The following is a 19,544-nucleotide window of genomic DNA, read 5'->3' as shown; positions in this document are numbered from 1 at the left end:
ATGTGGTATTTGGTTTTTTCTCCTTGTGATAGTTTGCTGAGAATGATGGTTTCCAGTTTCATCCACGTCCCTACAAAGCACATGAACTCATCCTTTCTTATGGCTGTATAGTATTCCATAGTGTATATGTGCCACATTTTCTTAATCCAGTCTGTCGTTGATGGACATTTGGGTTGGTTCCAAGTCTTTGCTATTATGAATAGTGCCGCAATAAACATACATGTGCATGTGTCTTTATAGCAGCATGACTTAACAATCCTTTGGGTATATACCCAGTAATGGGATGGCTGGGTCAAATGGTATTTCTAGTTCTAGATCCCTGAGGAATCACCACACTGTCTTCCACAATGGTTGAACTAGTTTACGGTCCCACCATCAGTGTAAAAGTGTTCCTATTTCTCCAGCACCTGTTGTTTCCTGACTTTTTAATGATTGCCATTCTAACTGGTGTGAGATAGTATCTCATTGTGGTTCTGATTTGCATTTCTCTGATGGCCAGTGATGATGAGCATTTTTTCATGTGACTGTTGGCTGCAAAAATGTCTTCTTTTGAGAAGTGTCTGTTCATATCCTTCGCCCACTTTTTGATGGGGTTGTTTGTTTTTTTCTTGTAAATTTGTTTGAGTTCTTTGTAGATTCTGGATATTAGCCCTTTGTCAGATGAGTAGATTGCAAAAATTTTGTCCCATTCTGTAGGTTGCCTGTTCACTCTGATAGTAGTTTCTTTTGCTATACAGAAGCACTTGAGTTTAATTAGATCCCATTTGTCAATTTGGCTTTTGTTGCCATTGCTTTTGGTGTTTTAGACATGAAGTCCTTGCCCGTTCCTATGTCCTGAATGGTAGTGCCTAGGTTTTCTTCTAGGGTTCTTATGGTTTTAAGTCTAATATTTAAGTCTTTAATCCATCTTGAATTAATTTTTGTATAAGGTGTAAGGAAGGGATCCAGTTTCAGCTTTCTACATACGGCTAGCCAGTTTTCCCAGCACCATTTGTTAAATAGGGAATCCTTTCCCCATTGCTTGTTTTTGTCAGGTTTGTCAAAGGTCAGATGGTTGTAGATGTGTGGTGTTATTTCTGAGGGCTCTGTTCTGTTCCACTGGTCTATCTCTCTGTTTGGGTACTAGTACCATGCTGTTTTGGTTACTGTAGCCTTCTAGTATAGTTTGAAGTCAGGTAGCGTGATGCCTCCAGCTTTGTTCTTTTGGCTTAGGATTGACTTGGCAATGCGGGCTCTTTTTTGGTTCCATATGAACTTTAAAGTAGTTTTTTCCAATTCTGTGAAGAAAGTCATTGGTAGCTTGATGGGGATGGCATTGAATCTATAAATTACCTTGGGCAGTATGGCCATTTTCACGATATTGATTCTTCCTATCCATAAGCATGGAATGCTCTTCCATTTTTTTGTATCCTCTCTTATTTCACTGAGCAGTGGTTTATAGTTCTCCTTGAGGAGGTCCTTCACATCCCTTGTAAGTTGGATTCCTAGGTATTTTATTGTCTTTGAAGCAATTGTGAATGGGAGTTCACTCATGATTTGGCTCTCTGTCTGTTATTGCTGTATAAGAATGCTTGTGATTTTTGCACATTGATTTTGTATCCTGAGACTTTGCTGAAGTTGCTTATCAGCTTAAGGAGATTTGGGGCTGTGACAATGGGGATTTCTAAATATACAATCATGTCATCTGCAAAGAGGGAAAATTTGATTTCCTTTTTTCCTAATTGAATACCATTTATTTCCTTCTCCTGCCTGATTGCCCTGGCCAGAACTTCCAACACTATGTTGAATAGGAGTGGTGAGAGAGGGCATCCCTTTCTTGTGCCAGTTTTCAAAGGGAATGCCTCCAGTTTTTTCCCATTCAGTATGATATTGGCTGTGGGTTTGTCATAAATAGCTCTTATTATTTGGAGATACATTCCATCAATACCTAATTTATTAAGAGCTTTTAGCATGAAGCACTGTTGAATTTTTTTGAAGGCCTTTTCTGCATCTATTGAGATAATCATGTGGTTTTTGTCTTTGGTTCTGTTTATATGCTGGATTACATTTATTGATTTGTGTATGTTAAACCAGCCTTGCATCCCAGGGATGAAACCCACTTGATCATGGTGGATAAGCTTTTTGATATGCTGCTAGATTTGGTTTGCCAGTATCTTATTGAGGATTTTTGCATCGATGTTCATCAAGGATATTGGTTTAAAATTCTCTTTTTTTGTTGTGTCTCTGCCAGGCTTTGGTATCAGGATGATGCTGGCCTCATAAAATGAGTTAAGGAGGATTCCCTCTTTTTCTATTGATTGGAATAGTTTCACAAGGAATGGTACCAGCTCTTCCTTGTACCTCTGGTAGAATTTGGCCGTGAATCCATCTGGTCCTGGACTTTTTTTGGTTGGTAAGCTATTAATTATTGCTTCAATTTCAGAGCCTGTTATTGGTCTATTCAGAGATTCAACTTCTTCCTGGTTTAGTCTTGGGAGGGTGTTTGTGTCCAGGAATTTATCCATTTCTTCTAGATTTTCTAGTTTATTTGCATAGAGGTGTTTATAGTATTCTCTGATGGTAGTTTGTATTTCTGTGGGATTGGAGGTGATATCCCTTTTATCTTTTTTTATTGTGACTATTTGATTCTTCTCTCTTTTCTTCTTTATTAGTCTTGCTAGTGGTCTATCAATTTTGTTGATCTTTTCAAAAACCCAACTCCTGGATTCATTGATTTTTTGAAGGGTTTTTTTTTGTCTCTATCTCCTTCAGTTCTGCTCTGATCTTAGTTATTTCTTGCCTTCTGCTGGCTTTTGAATGTGTTTGCTCTTGGTTTTCTAGTTCTTTTAATTGTAATGTTAGGGTTTCAGTTTTAGATCTTTCCTGCTTTCTCTTGTGGGCATTTAGTGCTATAAATTTCCCTCTACACACTGCTTTAAATGTGTCCCAGGGATTCTGGTATGTTGTGTCTTTGTTCTTGTTGGTTTCAAAGAACATCTTTATTTCTGCCTTCATTTCGTTATGTACCCAGTAGTGATTCAGGAGCATGTTGTTCAGTTTCCATAGAGTTGAGTGGTTTTGAGTGAGTTTCTTAATCATAAGTTCTTGTTTGATTGCACTGTGGTCTGAGAGACAGTTTGTTATAATTTCTGTTCTTTTACATTTGCTGAGGAGTGCTTTACTTCCAACTATGTGGTCAATTTTGGAATAAGTGCGATGTGGTGCTGAGAAAAATATATATTCTGTTGATTTGGGATGGAGAGTTCTGTAGATGTCTATTAGGTCTGCTTGGTACAGAGCTGAGTACAATTCCTAGGTATCCTTGTTAACCTTCTGTGTCATTGATCTGTCTCATGTTGACAGTGGGGTGTTAAAGTCTCCCTTATTATTGTGTGGGAGTCTAAGTCTCTTTGTAGGTCTCTAAGGACTTGCTTTATGAATCTGGATGCTCTTGTATTGGGTGCATATATATTTAGGATAGTTAGCTTTTCTTGTTGAATTCATCCCTTTACCATTATGTAATGGTCTTCTTTGTCTCTTTTGATCTTTGTTGGTTTAAAGTCTGTTTTATCAGAGACTAGGATTGCAACCCCTGCCTTTTTTTCTTTCCCATTTGCTTGGTTGATCTTCCTCCATCCCTTTATTTTGAGCCTATATGTGTCTCCGCACATGAGATGGGTTTCCTGAATACAGCACACTGATGGGTCTTGACTCTTTATCCAGTTTGCCAGTCATTTGCAGGTATTTTTGCAGCAGTGCCCCACTCCTGGTACCACCTTACTATATTAGTCTCTTCTCATGCTGCTAATAAAGGCATACCTGAGACTAGGTAACGTATAAAGGAAAAAGTTTTAATGAATTCACAGTTCCACCTGACTGGGGAGGCCTCACAATCATGGCTGAAGATGAAGGAAATGCAGAGGGACATCTTACATGGCGATAGGCAAGAGAGCATGTGCAGGAGAATTCCCCTTTATGAAACCATCAGATTTCATGAGACTTATTCACTGTCTTGAGAACAGCACAGGAAAAACCCACCCCCATCAATCAATTGCCTCCCACTGGGTCCCTCCCAAGACATTTGGGGATTATTACAATTCAAGGTGAGATTTGGGTGGGTCACAAAGCCAAACCATCTCAGTTAGTATCTATTAAAGCTAAACATGTGTATAATATATGACCCAGTCATTCACTTCTATAGAAATGCATGTACATCACACATGCTCACCAAGGTACATTCACAGTCATGCTGATAGCATGTTTTATATATTAGACCAAAACTGGAAACTACTTAAATACCTATCTATGGTGTAATGAATAAATAAATTTTTGCATATTTACAAATGCATACTGTATAGTGAAGCAGGAAATGTGAAAAAGGAAATCACATTTTCCTTTCTCCTTTGGTATGAGTAAACTTCCCTCTGGAATCCCTCCCCACTTTGTGTGGTTGCACCCTCCTCTGCAAGTTTTGTGAGTGTATAGATTCCTATTTTCTATAACTAGTGATTGTAAGTTTCTGTTTTTTATGTGAGTAGCACAGTGAAGGTCATGAGACATGCCTGAGCAGGCCTAGATTGCAGCCATCTGGGCACCATAGCGAAGGATATAAGATAAGCTTGTGAAAGGCTCCTAATGAAGCTAAGATAACAGCCATCTGGGACGCATAGCAAGAGTCATATGAAAGCCTGAGTTATAAACCTGTCACAATTTGATTAACCGCCTTAGTTCTGCTTCTGTACACTTGCTTTCACACAACTATGCTTCATGCCACTGTAAGCTTGTTTCAAACTAGCCAACTGTCTTTCAGAAGTGTGTATAAAAGTCGAGCCCTGTCTTTGTTCAGGGCCCAGCCTTTGGATGTTAATCTGCTGGGCCTGAGTGCATTCAATGAAATCCTTTGGTTCCACCTATTAGTCTCTCCAGTCTCCCGATTCCTGCAACAATAGCAGTGAATATTAATAAACTACAATTACACACAATATGGATGTCTCACATAAACATAGTGATGAATATTGAAATTGAATATTGGCTATACTTTGAAATTTACAACTAGAATGGAGTATAATGGGAGAATCTGGAGGTCTGTTAGTGTTCTATTTTTGTTCTGGGTGTAGAATACATGGTAGTTGTTGAATTTAAAATCTCTATACTATTCTTAAAAAACAAGTTTTTTTATATATATATGGGGAGAGAAGGCACAACTCAAAAATAATTGTTGGTATAACTATTAGCACATAAAGATTGCTTGACTGAAATATTTAAAATCAGATATATTTCAGCACTGCACCACCAGAAGTCTTACTAAATTTAATAAAAATACTGTGATTCTTTAAGGCTTAAAATGAAATATGGACACCCATCTACCATGAGCATGAAGCAAAATGAGAAATCTTTCTCTCTTCCAATGACATTTTCAGATAAGGCCACCGAAATTAATGATAAAAGATGCACCACCAAGATGGCAGCATGAGAGCCATGGAAGAAAGAAGATTGGGGAGCTGCTCTCAGGGAGCAGAAGATGGCCTCCTCAAGGCCATCTTAATCTTCGAAGCAGGAAACTTTTCAATGTCAACAAGGGCCTTAGAAGAATTTTAAAATTACTATGGATGAGTCAATATTGTGCATTCTTACTTTACTTATTTTCAAAAAGAATTATTTGCAGTCTTTGATTCTTACAGTGGTATACGTGCTAGGGAGTAAGTGTATTTGGCAAGTAAATGTGAATATTTGCATATTGGGGGACATTTGATAGATTCTATTATTGTTTTAAATTATTTATAGACAATCTCTGTTCAAGCATAAATATACTTTATTGCTGCATGTAACGTGGTATTTTATGAAAATTGATTTGACCAATGAAATGGAAGTAGAAATGAATTATGACACATTTGAAGTTAACTTTTAAACTATTTCTTCAGTCCAATAATGTTTTATTTTTTGTGTGTGCTGTGAGTGTAGAATATCCTCAATATTATCTGCTTCTTCACCTTAGGCCCTAAAATTACATATAATGGGAAACAGAGCCTCAACCAGCCCACAAACAATATTAAACAGTATTGAGAAATACATTTTGGTTTTGCTTATTTCCATAAAGTCATTTAAAGAAGGTTGAATACTAGAGGAACTTAAAAAAAATTGCTTAACAAGTTGAGTCCTCTGTCCAAAGTATACAAAATATGCAGTCATAAAGTAACAATTTTATCAGTGTAACTTTTCCAAAAAATCACTTTCATTTGTAGTCTAAGGATTTCATCAGAATAGCAACTTTTTGTGGTTGTGATGAAAAAACTATTCTGAAATTCCTACAGAATTCATGTAGAGCCAAAAAGACCCCCAATAGCTAAGGCAATCCTAAGCAAAATTAAAGTCAGAAGTATCACATTACCTGACTTCAAGCTATACAATAAGGCTAGTGTAACCAAAACAGTATGATACTGGTGCAAAAACAGACACATAGGACAACAGAACAGAATAGAGAGCCCCAAAATAAAACCACACACCTGCAAACAATTGATCTTTGACAAAGGTGACAAAAATAAACAATAGGGAAAGGATACCCTTTTCAATAAGTGGTGCTGGAGAAGCTGGGTTGCCCCATGCAGATGAATGAAACTGGACTTCTACATCACACCATACACAAAAATTAACTCAAGATGGATTAAAGACTTAACTGTATAGACCTCAAACTGTAAAAATCCTGGAAGACAACCTAGGAAATACCCCTCTCAACACTGGCCTAGTTAAGTAACTTATGACTAAGTCCTCAAAAGCAAATACAAAAAAAAAATTGACAATGGAGACCTAATTAAACTAAAGATCTTCTGCATATCAAAAGAAACTATCAAGAAAGTAAACAACCTACAGAATGGGAGAACATTTTTGCAAACTATGCATCCAACAAAGGCTAATATCCATAATCTATAGGCAACTTAAATCAAATAATAAATAACCCCATTTAAAATGGGCAAAGGACATGAATAGACACTTCTCAAAAGAAGAGATGCAAGCAGCCAACAAACTTATGAAAAAATAACCAGATAAATGCAAGTCAAAACCACAATAAGGTACTATGTCACACCAGTCAGAATGGCTATTAGTAAAAAGTCAAAACATAACAGATGTTAGCAAGGTTGCAGAGAAAATGGAACACTTATACACTGTCGGTGGGAATGCAAATTAGTTCAGCACCTGTGCAAAGCAATCTGGAAATTTATCAAATTACTAAAAATACAGTTACCATTTGACCCAGCAATCCCAGTATTGGGTACATATTAAAAGGAAGGCAAATCATTCTACCAAAAAGACAACGGCACTTACATGTTTATCACAGCACTATTCACAATAGTAAAGACATGGAATTAACACAGATGCCAATCAATGTTGGATTGGATAAAGAAAATGTGGTATGTATACACTGCAGAATACTATGCACCCATAAAAAGGATGTAATCATTTCCTTTTCAGCAACATGAATGCAGCTGGAAGCCATTATCTGAAGTGAATTAATGCAGAAACAGAAAACCAAATACTGCATGTTCTCCTTTATAAGTGGAGCTAAACATTGGGTACACACAGACACAAACATAGGAACAATAAACTCTTGGAATCCCAAAAGAGGGGAGGCACAGGGGCAAGGATTGAAAACCTATCTATTAGGCATTATGTTCACTTCTTGGACTATGGAATCATTAGAAGCCCAAACTTCAGTATCACACACATACCCATGTTACAACCCTGCACAGGTACCACATGAATCTAAAATAAAACATTTTTTTAAAAGAAGTAAAAAAAAAATTCTGAAGAACGGTAAGCCCAGACTGCTAATAAGGACTCCTAGCGTGTCTCCTCTCTTGATAAGTAGTGCACCTGCAACTTCTTAATGCTTGGCTTTTTTGATTTTGGCTTTTACTTTTTTTTTAAACACAAATAACATGCAACAGTCAAGGGAATTATTGTCAGAACAAAAATGCATTGCTGCTCACTATCTGAGTAAACAGTGAATAAAACCAGAGAAAGTAAAATTCTATGAATTGGAACATATTTTTAGTACAGAACTGGCACTCTGAACAAGACTGTCACTTACGTTTCTATTCATTATGTAGAAAAATGTGTTTCCTTCTTTTATGTTTTCAATAAGATTTTTATTTTAGTCAGAACTGGGGATTTAAAATCAGAATAATTAAATTCTTTGCTAATAATTAGATTTATTGTTTTTAAGTTTTTTCTTTTGAAAATTACCTTACAGGTTTATTCCAAGAATAATCAGATCCACTGTTTCTCAACTGTCAACATGACAAACCAAAACTCTATGGTGTGTTTTATTTCTATAAAACCTTGTAAACAATTTGAGATAATTAGGTTTCCTTTACTGTTCTCTGAGAATAAAACAATGCACAGAAAAATTTTACAGCATACTTTCTTAAACTAAGGCGTCTTAAGAAACATCAGATTTTTTTACAAAACAACAATAAATTGAAATCTATATACAATTGATGTACAACTTTTTCAGGCTTCTCTAAAATCCAGACACACAGGTACATACATACTCACACATATGTGCACCCATGTGCACACAGACACGCACACACACACAAAGTTAGAACTAAGAAGATGCCCTCTTATATGTAATAGAACCCTTGTATTAAATGGGGCAGGAAATAAGTATTATACTCACAGGGATTGACCATAACTAATTTGGAACACTTAGTATTTAACAGGGCACGCGTAGGACCCATTTAGGAAATTACAGAAGGAGAGGGGCTCAAACTTTCATACTGCTCTTACAACAAGGCCATATTGTAAATTCTGTTTGGAGATTCAATCCTTTTTCTTTGAAAAAAGTATTTTTCAATTTTTTTCTCAAAGGCATTTTTATAAAAGAACTATTTTCTTGCTTTTTAAAAATGCAATATTGATAAGTGCAGCAAACCATCATGGCACATGTATACCTAAATAACAAACCTACATAGTCTGCACATGTATCCCAGAACTTAAAGTAAAATTTAAAAAAAAATTAAAAAAAGATGGACAAAAGACTGCAACATTGTTTACACATTTTCTCACCACATTCTTTTGGATTGACTTTCTTCTTAATAAGTAAAAAACACAAAAGGAATTCAGAATATAATCTAGTAACAAGGGAATGACAAATGTATATATTATTTGGTAGATACTTATCGATGACCCTTATAGAGTCACACACTATTTCTCAGACTAGCTCTAGACAGAAAATTAGTAAACATAGGCATACTTCATACAGATTTTTAAAAACCATACATGACTTTTATTTAGTGTTTCCATGCATTCAACACCATAGAGGTAAGATCACCTTACAAATATATTTAAGATCTGTTTTGTCTATGTGTGTTTTCAAAGTGTGCTCTCTTTCTAGAGAAATTATAATTCCTCAAAACATTCTAAATTTTCTATTGAATTTGCAATTTTTAGAGCTCAACTGTTGATAAAAGGAAATATTTCTAATACACAGATGAGACTACATTGATTCTAAGCCATTGTTTTCACACTTATGCAAGAGGTGTACCTGTACAAAAAGTATGAACTTAGACTAGAATATGCTCAGAAGCAGAAACACTAGAGTGGCATTTAAGAAAATATATAGACAATAGGGAAAAGCATACATTGAGGTCTCCCTCAAAACTGGCAAAACAAAACAGTATTTAGTTGTCTTCAATATTAATGACCAGAAGGCTCTACCTAGTCAATATTTGAGTTCCATCAAGAAAACTGAGTTTAAACTGCCAAACATTTTCAGATACTTATTGTTTATAAATAAATAATGACTCATCAAATACAAGTTAGAATCTAAAACTTTTCTTAAGGTATTTTGTATTACACTTTAAGTTCTGGGAAACATGTGCAGAACGTGCAGGTTTGTTACATAGGTATACATGTGCCATCGTGATTTGCTGCACCCATCAACCTGTCATCTACATTAGGTATTTCTCCTAATGCTATCCCCTTCACCTCCCCCAACCCCCGACAGGCCCCTGTGTGTGATGTTCCCCTCCCTGTGTGCATCTGTTCTCATTGCTCAACTCCCACTTATGAGTGAGAACATGTGGTGTTTGGTTTTCTGTTCCTGTGTTAGTCTGCTGAGAATGATGGTTTCCAGCTTCATCCACGTCCCTCCAACATCAACTCATCCCTTTTTATGGCAGCATGGTATTCCATCGTGTATATATGCCACATTTTCTTTATCCAGTCTATTATTGATGGGCATTTGGGTTGGTTCCAAGTCTTTGCTATTGTGAATAGTGCTGCAATAAACATATGTGTGCATGTGTCTTTATAGTAGAATGATTTATAATCCTTTGGGTATAGACCTAGTTATGGGATTTCTTGGTCAAATGGTATTTCTGGTTCTAGATCCTTAAGGAATCTCCACACTGTCTTCCACAATGGTTGAACTAATTTACATTCCCACCAACAGTGTACAAGCATTCCTATTTCTCCACATCCTCTCAAGCATCTGTTGTTTCCTGACTTTTTAATGATTGCCATTCTAACTGGCATGAGATGGTATCTCACTGTGGTTTTGATTTACATTTCTCTAATGACCAGTGATGATGAGCTTTTTTTCATATGTTTGTTGGCTGCAAAAATGTCTTCTTTTGAAAAGTTTCTGTTCATATCCTTCACCCACTTTTTGATGGGGTTGTTTGTTTTCTTCTTGTAAATTTGTTTAATATCTTTGTAGATTCTGGATATTAGCCCTTTGTCAAATGGATAGATTGCAAAAATTTTCTCCCATTCTGTGGTTGCCTGTTCACTCTGATGATAGTTTCTTTTGCTGTGTAGAAGCTCTTTAGTTTAATTAGATGCTATTTGTCAATTTTGGCTTTTGTTGTCATTGCATTTGGTGTTTTAGTCATGAAGTCTTTGCCCATGCCCATGTACTGAATGGTATTGCCTAGGTTTTCCTCTATGGTTTTTATGGGTTTAGGTCTTACATTTAAATTTTTCATCTATCTTGAGTTAATTTTCGTGTAAGGTGTAAGGAAGGGGTCCAGTTTCAGTTTTCTACATATGGCTAGTCTGTTTTCCCACCCATTTACTAAATCCTTTAATAAATCTCTTTAAATTCAATGGAGAATCCTTTCCTTATTTCTTGTTTTTGCCAGGTTTGTGAAAGATCAGATGGTTGTAGGTGTGTTGTCTTATTTCTGAGGCCGCTGTTCTGTTCCATTGGTCTACATATCTGTTTTGGTACCAGTACCATGCTGTTTGGTTACTGTAGCCTTGTAGTATGTTTTGAAGTAAGGTAACTTTTAAATAAAACAAACTAAAGTAAAGTTACAACATGATCTACAAAGGCCTATTAAATATAAATTTATCTCTAAAATTTTTTAATAATATAGGTAACTGAGAGGAAGAGAAATTCAATGATGTTATATCAAATATATGTTTAGTGTAAAATACATGGCCAATAATAATATTTTGCTATTTCCTGTCTTGGACTTACTCCATAAAATCTAATTAACCAAGAAGCATTTCCGTAAGCTAAATAAGAAGATTTTCATAAAGCGTTTTTAGAAATTAATTAAAACATTGTGATATGTACTCTTATGCATATATAAATACCTTATTGGAAGCCATACATACAGCCAGGTTAGAAATAATTCATTATTATCCCACTATTATTAGATAGGAAAGTACACAAATGCTATTATGAATGTTCTGTAGCTTATGCCCCTCTTTGTATGTCAAAGAACATAGAATTACTTAAAAGTTTTAGAGTTATTTTTTACTAAATGTTTTACAGAAAAAAATAAGTTAAAAGTATTTACTATACTTTTAATCATAATCTTCACTGTCATGTTATGAAAGTTTTTAAAATTTCCAAATTTTTTTATGACTATATAATTTGTTCCACACCTATAAATGAAGCTAATTTTTAAAAATTAATTAATTAATTATTTTTTTTTTAGACATTCTTGCTCTGTCACCCAGGTTGGAGTGCTATGGTACTATCTCAGCTCACTGCAACCTTCACCTCTCTGGTTCAAGTGATTCTTGCGACTCAGCCACCCTGTAGCTTACCAGCTACAGTACTACAGGGATGCGACACCATGCCCCACTAATTTTTAGTAGAGATAGGGTTTCACCATGTTGGCCAGGCTGGTCTTGAACACCTGACCTCAAGCAATCTGCCTGCCTCGGCCTCCCAAAGTGCTGGGATTACAAGTGTGAGCCACAACACTCAGCTGCTACATGTTACTTTTACTGATTTAAAATTTTATTAATAGCTAAATATAATATAGAACAATATAATTTTCTTAAAACCTAAGATTCCATTTTTCTTTGTAGGACAGAAAAATATTTCATTTAAAATATGAACTTTTTTGAGCTTTTTGCTTCAGATTATAGTGAAGGTTGTTAAAATCACTTTCATATAAGCATTCTAATAACACAAGATTAACCTGTTTATACAAAATAAGTATCAACTGAAGATCACTTTGGTTTTAATTAAAAAATTGAAATAACTCTTAGATAAAACTTTCAAGTTGAGTTCAATACTTTTAATGTTTCTTTGCAAAATCTCCTTTAAAAGAGTCAAAATTTTACAGGAAGTAATTCAAATATCTGACAACCTAGAATTTTCTCATTTTTATATTAGTTTTTGAGTATGACATATTAAAGTGAGATAGAAACAAGACTTCAGAAATTCATAATACATTGTCTCTTCCTATCCCTTTATCAGCTAAGTAGTGTTCTGTGTTTATTCAGGGGATTTCTCCACATCTCAACTTTTCAAGATAAAGATTCTCGCTTCCTAGAATTAAGAGGCCAAGTCTACCTTCCTTGCAAGAAAAAGAATTCAGAAGAAGAGGAAATTATTCACGGCTAAGGTTAGGGTTAGAATTTGGGATTTTGATAAAGAAGAGCTGCAAAGAAACTGGTACTTTAAAGGAAGTTAATTTTAAATATTACTGCACTGTATAAATCATGTATTTTTAATGTTCTCAGAGAAATATAAGATTTGAATAATTTTATTACCTCTTGAAAACTGTGTTCAATCCATTTTACCACTCTGAGACCAGATGAATTTCATGGTTTATAAGTATTATCTAATACACATTTCCATGGCATTTGATAAATTATATATTATTAAATTGAAAATAAGTTTATTTGCAGATTAATTGAAAAATTTTCATCACACTTTCGTTTTTCTATTTTTACTTTTATGCCATTAGTTAATTAAACAGTAGGTCCTCATTGAATGTCTTATTGTGTACTAATTAGATGAAAGAAACAGGTCCTTAAACCCTATGGAGATGTGTGATGATTTTTAAAAAATGAAAGCATGGAAGTAGAAGGAAAAAAAAGAGAAAGAAACAGGTCTTTATGGGAGCTATCTATATTTTAAAGCAACAAGTGAGATAAGTACACTTCTGTTTTAAAGGTTGATTCTTTGAATTTATTTTCAACTTTTAGTATTGTAAGTTTCATAAACTTGAGACTTTACCGATACTTTTTCAGGTTTAGTAATTGAGAAATCTACCTTTGCTATAGGAGTCTAAAATTAAGAGATTTTTTTAATTTTTTTTTTTTTTTTTTTTTGAGATGGACTCTTGCTCTGTCGCCCAGGCTGGAGTGCAGCGGCGCCATCTCCGCTCACTGCAAGCTCTGCCTCCCGGGTTTACTTAAGCCATTCTCCTGCCTCAGCCTCCCAAGTAGCTGGGACTACAGGCACCCGCCACCACGCTCAGCTAATTTTTTGTATTTTTAGTAGAGACGGGGTTTCACGTGTTAGCTAGGATGATCTCGATCTCCTGACCTCATGATCCGCCCGCCTCGGCCTCCCAAAGTGCTGGGATTGCAGGCGTGAGCCACCGCGCCCAGCCATTTTAAATTTATAAATTATATTTTTGTAAGAAGCTATAGACAATCACAGAATCTCATAAAATCATTTTAGAAGAACTGTCATTTGTCCTTAAAACTCATTTTGTTGGAGACAATTTTCAAAAAGTGTACTGAGACAGACAATTTAAAAAAAGAACCTTATTGGTAGCAACCATGTTATTGTTCTAGCTACATCAATGTGAGGTGAGTGATCTGGGTTATTTAGTTGGTAATGTTATCTGTACTTTACTTATGATTTTTAGGATCAAGTTAAATTTTGTAGGGTGAGACAGAAAAATTAAATGAACTGGCCAGAGTTTCATTTCTCTTCATTATCAGGGACATCCTAGGAATGAAAGAAGATAGATGATCAGATCAAAGCTCCTTGTAAGCATAATGATAATGGGCTAGTGTATAGAATATATTTGTTAAAAGAAGATTCCTTAAATAAGAAATGTTTTTGATATGATAGTCTTGGTATATAATTACTTTTTATAAACAAACCAAGAATATATGGAACGCTAAGAAATATTAGGCAACATATGAAACTACTGGAACCTGCAGATATTTCATACCCTAAAACTCTTGTGTGTTGTAATCTGCCCACTTGTTTTAGAAGCCTATTATTCTTGTCTAAAATGTGAATCTGATGTGGGAAAGAAGATGCTAGCAGCTGTGGTCATGATGCCTGGCGTCTATTCACTTTGTGTTTCTTCATTTTTTATATTCTTGAATTTATTATAAATACTTGATACTTATTTGTGTTAGTCTGTTTTACCATTCTTATTCAGTGTTTCGCTCATTAGGAAAAATCTTGAACCTAAAAATATATAAAACATTAATAGTATATTTGCTTTCCAAATATTCTTCCATTTTATTTTAGAGATAGGGTCTCACTCTGTCGCCCAGGCTAGAGTACAGTGGTGAGATCACAGCTTACTACAGCCTTGATTTCCCAGGCTCAGGTGATTCTCCCACCTCAGCCTTCCAAGTAGCTGGGACTACAAGTGTGTACCACCATGACTCACTAATTTTTAAATTTTTTGTAGAGATGGGGTTTTGCCATGTTTCTCAGGCTGGGCTGGAACTCCTGGACTCATTAAGTCCACTCACTTCGGCCTCCCGAAGTGCTGGGATTAAGGCGTGGAGCACGAAACCTGGCCTATTTTTCCATTTTAAGGCACCAAAAACCTATTTTTTATTTTCCGAAACATAAAATTACCTGTGAAAATATTACTGAATATTTTTAAAAGGTCATTTTGAAAATTCAGAAATGAACTAGAAAACATGTGTCACAATATCTGTGCTTTATTTTCAGCATCACTGGTTTTAGATTTTTTTTTCTAAGCTCATTTTCTTGACAAGTAGGGACTTAAGATAATAATAAGCACTGGAATTTGTACTTTAAAAACTCATAGCATCAACCTTGATTAAAGTGATCAATTTCTATTTTCTAATGAAAAATATACTGAGAATTTTCCAATTTGCAAAGAAGCATGAGGTGACACTGGAACAAGAGTAATAACTGTGGGCCAGGCGTGGTGGTCACGCCTGTAATCCCAGCAGTTTGGGAGGCCGAGGTGGAGGATCATGAGGTCAAGAGATCCAGACCATCCTGGCCAACATGGTAAAACCCCATCTACACTAAAAATACAAATAATTAGCTGGGCATGGTGGTGCACGCCTATAGTCCCAGCTACTTGGGAGGCTGAGGCAGGAGAATTACTTGAACCCGGGAGGCAGAGATTGCAGTGAGCCCAAATTTCACCACTGCATGGTCCTAGAGATACTGAAAATTAGAACGATAGAAAAAAATATATATATATATAAGAAAGCCAGTGGAGGAAGAATATATTTGACTCAAAGTGAGAAATTAGAATGTTTATAATATCTGGAGATTCATCAGCCCAACTTAACCATGTAGCAACAGACTAAGGCCTAGACTACATTAGGACTGGGATCCAGAAGTCCACAAGCAGGCAACATAAATGTAAAAGTTTAACACTATTGCTGGGGATATTTTCAGTATGCCCACAGTATTCTCGTGTACAGGAATCTCTAACACATTATATAATAGAGACATAAAATTGAAAAGTAGATCTCAAAAAGGGAGTGTCCCACAGAAATGGATAATCCAGACAGATAATATTTGGACAGTCATAAAGGTACTGTTTTCAGTGTCTGTTCATGGTTAATATCAAACCCAGTTATCAATCTTAGGGTTATTAGAGGATTCTAGGTGTCAGAAAACAACCTTTCATTTCCATAATACATCAAGAAAAAATGAGAATTAAATAAGTTATTGTAATGGGAATTGGCTATGAAGGAGAAATTTTTTTAAAAAACACACAACAGGTATGATTTCAGCATGAACACAGGACAATTTATGCTCAATTCTGTGTGGACTGGGAGTACTGATATTTGAACGTGGGACATCCAGAACAATACAAAATGTTTGCACTTTGTTCTACATGCCAACAAATCAATGATTTGAAGATAAATGATATGCATCCTCCAAGATGTATCTTCCATATTTTAAATCATCTCTATCTTTTCAAATTGTGTTATAGGCTATGATTTCATTCTGTTACGACATGTTATTTCCTTTATTGCCTATTTTTGGAAATAAGTCAATTCTCTATAAAATTATGGCACCTACAAAAATAAAACCAGCACTTTAGACATGGCTGCCAAGTATGTTCAGTAGCAGAAGTGTCCTATTTCTCAACAGAATAGTGCCGTATCTACTCCCCTAAACAACCGTTCTGTGTGTTTGACTTCAAATATGCCTGTCTCTTTAACTTTGATGAGAATGTTAATGGTTTTTCTAATAAGTATGCTTTTAAACATAAGGCACGATTCAACCTGTTTGCCCTTCACTGACTTCAATTTTTAATCTTTTAAAATTCTGGCCAGTATTAGATCAATTAAATGTCATGATGGACTAATAAGTGACATTTATCAAGACTCATCATATTTAATTATAATACTATAGTACAGTTACTTAGCATTAGCATCTTATTTCATGAAGTCTTAGATTATCTTTATCAGAATTTCTAATACATGCATACTGCAGGGTATCTAGACAGCATACATGGTTGCCTTCCTACAGAAAATCATCAGTAGAAATCACTATGGATGAATCAGTGAAAAAGGAAGACACTACACAGTTTCTGAACTGTGGATTTAATACTTTAAAATCTGGATTAAAATCTTGCCTTCATTATAGGACACAGAGGAACCTGCACCTTCCCTTTTCAACTTGTCCCAGTGGTTCTTATTAGTGGCCTCTGCTGCCACTTGGAAGCTACAACTATTACTCAGGTGGAGATTTATAAACTTTGCTAAAATCATGGTAACTTTTCATCTAAATGTAGCTTTTCAACCCACTGTTGCAAAATATATGTTTCTTTTTTACTCTGATCTATGCATGTTCCTCTGTTCTCCAAATCAAAATTTTAACCACATATTTTTATAAATGAAATGTAGTGTTAATGGTTGGGAAACTTTAGTCCTAAATTATGGGCTAGATCAAAAGTGACATCTCTTTTAGTCATTAATTTGGTTAGGAGATATGAAATATTGCAGAGTTTTAAACTGATTAGGTACATTTACATTGAGTTGCACTGTGTACTGTTACAGTTCTGATACTATTCTTAGTATAACCAAAACAGTTACTGTGCATGTTAATGATAGTTATATTGATTGGACAGAGCTTTTGAAGTCATAAGCCTAGAATTTTACTACTGGCTTTACCTCTGTGACCTTACTTATGTCAGTTTCTTAAATGGAAAATGGTAGTGATACTTGTTTTTGTAGAGCTGAAATATTAGTGGACGATATACTTGTAAAACAGAAGTAAAATCAAGCATTATTTTACATTTTCCTATAGACTACTTTATAACATCCCTGCATAAGCTATTAAGATAGCTTATGAAAAAGAGGCTGCTTTATACGATTTTTTCTTTTGTAAGATAAAGTTAAGTTCTCTATCCTGTTTTTGAAAGATGAGAGACTTAGAAAAAGTACACTGTCTTACAAAGGGACAATGATAAAAAAAACACATTCAAGGATATTTCATTGTGCATATTTTCAGTGAAACATAGAGAATAGCTCATTTCTTATTATGTTTGTAAGTATAATGTGACTTATAAAGCTAGTAGCATACTAGAAAAAAAATTGTTCTCTCATCAGATAAAGTTCTATGAACTATTATTCAACAAAGTAGTATATAATTTTGAGTATTATTGAACATTAAAGACATTATATGTTCATAGCTTTAAAATTAGTTGCTGCTCAAAATTATAAGTATGAATATTAAAAGTAAAGAATGCATTAAGATAGACTAGTACATTTTTTGTTTTTTTGTATATTTTATATTTGTAGTACTTCTGAATTCTCTGTAAAATTATCACCTTAATAAAATTTAGAGGTTTACCGCTTAGGAACATTTTTGTCTCTCACCTTTTGGTTGCTTTTCACAACACCTCAGTAGAGAAGGTTGGTAAGGTATTATTGTAATTTTTGAGCAAATGTAGAATCTAAATCCAGACAAACCAAAAAATAAAGTAACATAATGCATAAACTGCAAATATATATCTTGAATTCAGTTTGAATTTAAAGTTGGAGAAATTTAAATTAAATCTACTGACCAAATTAGACTGAGAGCAAAATCTGAAAAATAACTGCTAACAACTAGAATGATGTTGATAATAGAAGTATCTCTGAGAAATTGCTAGAGGTCAATAAGAGTATTTATATATCTATCTATGCACAATGCTAATGAGGGGGGAACTATCATTGTTTTCATTCAATAAGTGTATTAATCCGTTCTCATGCTGCTATAAAGAACTGTCCAAGACTAGGTAATTTATAAAGGAGAGAGGTTTAATTGACTCACAATTCTGCAGGGTTGGAGAGGCCTCAGGAAACTTACAATCATGGCAGAATGGGAAGCAAACATGTCCTTCTTCACATGTCAGCAGGAAGAAGAATGGAGTACCCAGCAAAGGGGAAAGCGCCTTATAAAACTATCAGATCTTGTGAGAACTAACTCACTATCATAAGAACAGGATGGGGGATACCCTTCCCATGATTCAATTATCTCCACTTGATCCCTTCCACAACACATGGGGATTATGGGAACTACAATTCAAGATGAGATTTGAGTGGGGACACAGCCAAACCATATCAATAAGAAAATTGTTGTTTAGAAGATTTAAGTAATTTGCTTAGGAACTGAGGTTCAAGTTAGTACTGGCTAACTGTAGAGCCAGGGAACAACTATTAAAGCCAGTGATAAAAGTAGCTTCATTTTAACTTCAATTTCCAATGTCAATAGTTTCAATTAAATACTTCATTTAAATGCATCCTAAGAAACACTAATACTCTTGTCCGGGCACAGTGGCTCATGCCTGTAATCCCAGCTTTTTGAGAAGGTGAAGCAGGTGGATCATGAGGTCAGGAGTTCCAGACCAGCCTGGACAATATGGTGAAACCTGTCTCTCCTAAAAATACAAAAATTAGCCAGGTGCAGTGGTGGTGCATGCCTGTAGTCCCAGCTACTAGGGAGCTGAGGCAGGAGAACTGCTTGAACCTAGGAGGTGGAGGTTGCAGTGATCCAAGATTGTACCACTGCACTCCAGTCTGGGCAACAGAGTGAGACTCTTTCCAAAAAAAAAACACTAATACTCTTTAAG

Source organism: Homo sapiens, chromosome 3 (assembly GCF_000001405.40).
Source record: "Homo sapiens chromosome 3, GRCh38.p14 Primary Assembly".
NCBI classification, from domain to species: Eukaryota; Metazoa; Chordata; class Mammalia; order Primates; family Hominidae; genus Homo; species Homo sapiens.
Note: the sequence above shows the minus strand (reverse complement) of the source record.